At 44.3% G+C, this 2,805-nt stretch overlaps 1 non-coding gene across 1 annotated transcript; it reads right to left on the bottom strand.

The window, feature by feature from the left end:
• Positions 1-2,403: 2,403 nt before the first annotated feature.
• Positions 2,404-2,529, bottom strand: LOC124900245 (small nucleolar RNA SNORA40). The gene has a single exon (XR_007060660.1). It is a non-coding gene; the product is annotated as a small nucleolar RNA SNORA40 (small nucleolar RNA).
• Between the last annotated feature and the right edge of the window lie 276 nt (positions 2,530-2,805).

Below are 2,805 nucleotides of genomic sequence, written 5' to 3'. Positions count from 1 at the left end.
ATGTCACTGGCTGGGCAATTTCCTCCTGAGCGCTTTGGCTTATCTTCTCTGACTAAATGGAATAAACCTGTTCAAATCAGTATTTTTACATATTGCTCATCCAATATTGTACAGGAAAAATACTAATATGGGGCCAGGTGTGGTGGCTCACGTCTGTAATCCTAGCACTTTGGGAGGCCAAGGCAGGCAGATTACGAGGTCAGGAGATCAAGACCATCCTGGCTAACATGGTGAAACCCTGACTCTACTAAAAGTACAAAAAAAAAAAAAAGGGAAAATACTAATATGGGGCTAGGCATGGTTGTTCATACCTGTAATGCCAGTGCTTTGGAAGGCTGAAGTGGGAGGATCACTTGAGTCCAGGAGTTCGAGACCAGCTGGGCAACATATTGAGACCCCTGTCTCTACGAAAACCAAAAAAAAAAAAAAAAAAAAAATGAGCCAGGCATAGTGGTGCATGCCTGTAGTCCTTGCTACCGAGTAGGCTAAGGAGGAAGGATTGCTTGAGCTCAGGAGTTCGAGGCTGCAGTGAGCTATGATTTCGCCACTGCACTCCAGCCTGCAATGGCCTGAATTTCCTGTTCAGATCTTTTATGAACCAAATACTACACAACTGTAGTCATGATCTTCTTGGCTGGAGAGAGGCTGGCTGTCACCCAGGGCCACAGGGTGATTAGGTAGAATGAAAAGAGAGTCACCAACTCAAGACAGTAGCACAGTGTCCTTGTGGTTTTGGCTGGTGTAGTCTAAAATCTGAATTATGCAAAGTGTATTTGATCTTGCATCACATCAGGAAAAAGCCCAGTAATCTATTTCATCATGGGGTGTGGAGAAGTTGCTGGAACCATTTCTAGACACAGATTTTGGTTCTCCAGAGGCCAGCAAGTTAGCTTCACTAAGCTTCGGGGCCCACAGTGGGAAGAGATGTCCTGCTGAGGCTCAGCGTTGACTTCACTCTTGTGGAGCAAAGCTGTAGGAACTAAGGGCTTTATGCTAATTAAAAGATGAGGCCAGGTGCAGTGGCTCATACCTGTAATGGGGTCTTGCTATATTGCCCAGGCTGGTCTCGAACTCCTGGGTTCAAGCCATCCTCCCACCTCAGCCTCCTGAATCACTGGGATTAAAAGTGTGAGCCACTGTGCCCAGCCTCCCTTTTAATAGAACTGGTGCTTAATCCACAGCTCTCCTGTCAGCCCACAGTTCTTGAATTTTGGCCTCTTTTATGTCCACATGAATGTAAATATACTTCAGAATTTCCACCCAGAATCTTTGGAATCTAATTTCTTCAATCATTTTACTTTAGAGTCATTTTTAGGGTAAGTGAATCTGCCTGGTTTTCAACTTGACACCCTCTCTAAACGTGAATGAGTTCAAATCATATTCGTTCCTGAGGAATCACACTCAAGCATAGTACAAATCTGTGGGATATGCCATTACAACTCTAGGAATCATGTTCTCAAGGTAAAAGCCTTTAAGAAAAGCTGTCTTGACATATCATGTAAGCATGACAATGGAATACTAAACCAACATAGCTGAGATTTTCCTTATGTCCTATGCTTTTAAATGATCAACCCTACAGTCCTGGAACCAACCTTTATGGTTATCAATACCTCCATTATTTTAAACTATCTCAGGTATCATATTCCTTCTTTTTTTTTTTTTTTTGAGACGGAGCCTCTCACTGTCACCCAGGCTGGAGTGCAGTGGCGCAATCTCGGCTCATTGCAAGCTCCACCTCCAATGGAATACTAAATCAACATAGCTGAGATTTTCCTTATGTCCTATGCTTTTAAATGATCAACCCTACAGTCCTGGAACCAACCTTTATGGTTATCAATACCTCCATTATTTTAAACTATCTCAGGTATCATATTCCTTCTTTTTTTTTTTTTTTTTGAGACGGAGCCTCTCACTGTCACCCAGGCTGGAGTGCAGGGGCGCAATCTCGGCTCATTGCAAGCTCCACCTCCAATGGAATACTAAATCAACATAGCTGAGATTTTCCTTATGTCCTATGCTTTTAAATGATCAACCCTACAGTCCTGGAACCAACCTTTATGGTTATCAATACCTCCATTATTTTAAACTATCTCAGGTATCATATTCCTTCTTTTTTTTTTTTTTTTGAGACGGAGCCTCTCACTGTCACCCAGGCTGGAGTGCAGTGGCGCAATCTCGGCTCATTGCAAGCTCCACCTCCTGGGTTCACGCCATTCTCCTGCCTCAGCCTCCCGAGTAGCTGGGACTACAGGCACCCGCCACGACCCCCGGCTAATTTTTTGTATTTTTAGTAGTGCCGGGGTTTCACCATGTTAACCAGGATGGTCTCGATCTCCTGACCTCGTGATCCACCCGCCTCGGCCTCCCAAAGTGCTAGGTTTACAGGTGTGAGCCACCATGCCTAGCTTTCCTTCTTATATGTATCAAAACTCATACTGAAAAATGAGTTCTGGGTTACAAAAGAGGGTTTATTTTTTGCACCTGCCTTTGAATCAGTCCTTAAGCTTAACCTTTAACTTCCAAGGAACTACTTTTTTTTTTTTTTTTTTTTAGATAGAGTCTCGCTCTGTCACCCAGGCTGGAGTGCAATGATGCAATCTCGGCTCACTGCAACCTTCGTCTCTTGGGTTCAAGTGATTCTCCTGTCTCAGCCTCCTGAGTAGCTGGGATTGCAGGCATGTGCCACCATGCCCTGCTAACTTTTGTATTTTTTGTAGAGACAGGGTTTCTCCATGCTGGTCAGGCTGGTCACGAACTCCTGACCTCAGGTGATCCACCTGCCTCAGCCTCCCAAAGTGCTGGGAT

The sequence above is a fragment of the Homo sapiens genome, chromosome 7 (assembly GCF_000001405.40).
Source record: "Homo sapiens chromosome 7, GRCh38.p14 Primary Assembly".
NCBI lineage: Eukaryota > Metazoa > Chordata > Mammalia > Primates > Hominidae > Homo > Homo sapiens.
Note: the sequence above shows the minus strand (reverse complement) of the source record. Positions and strands in the feature narration are given on the sequence as shown.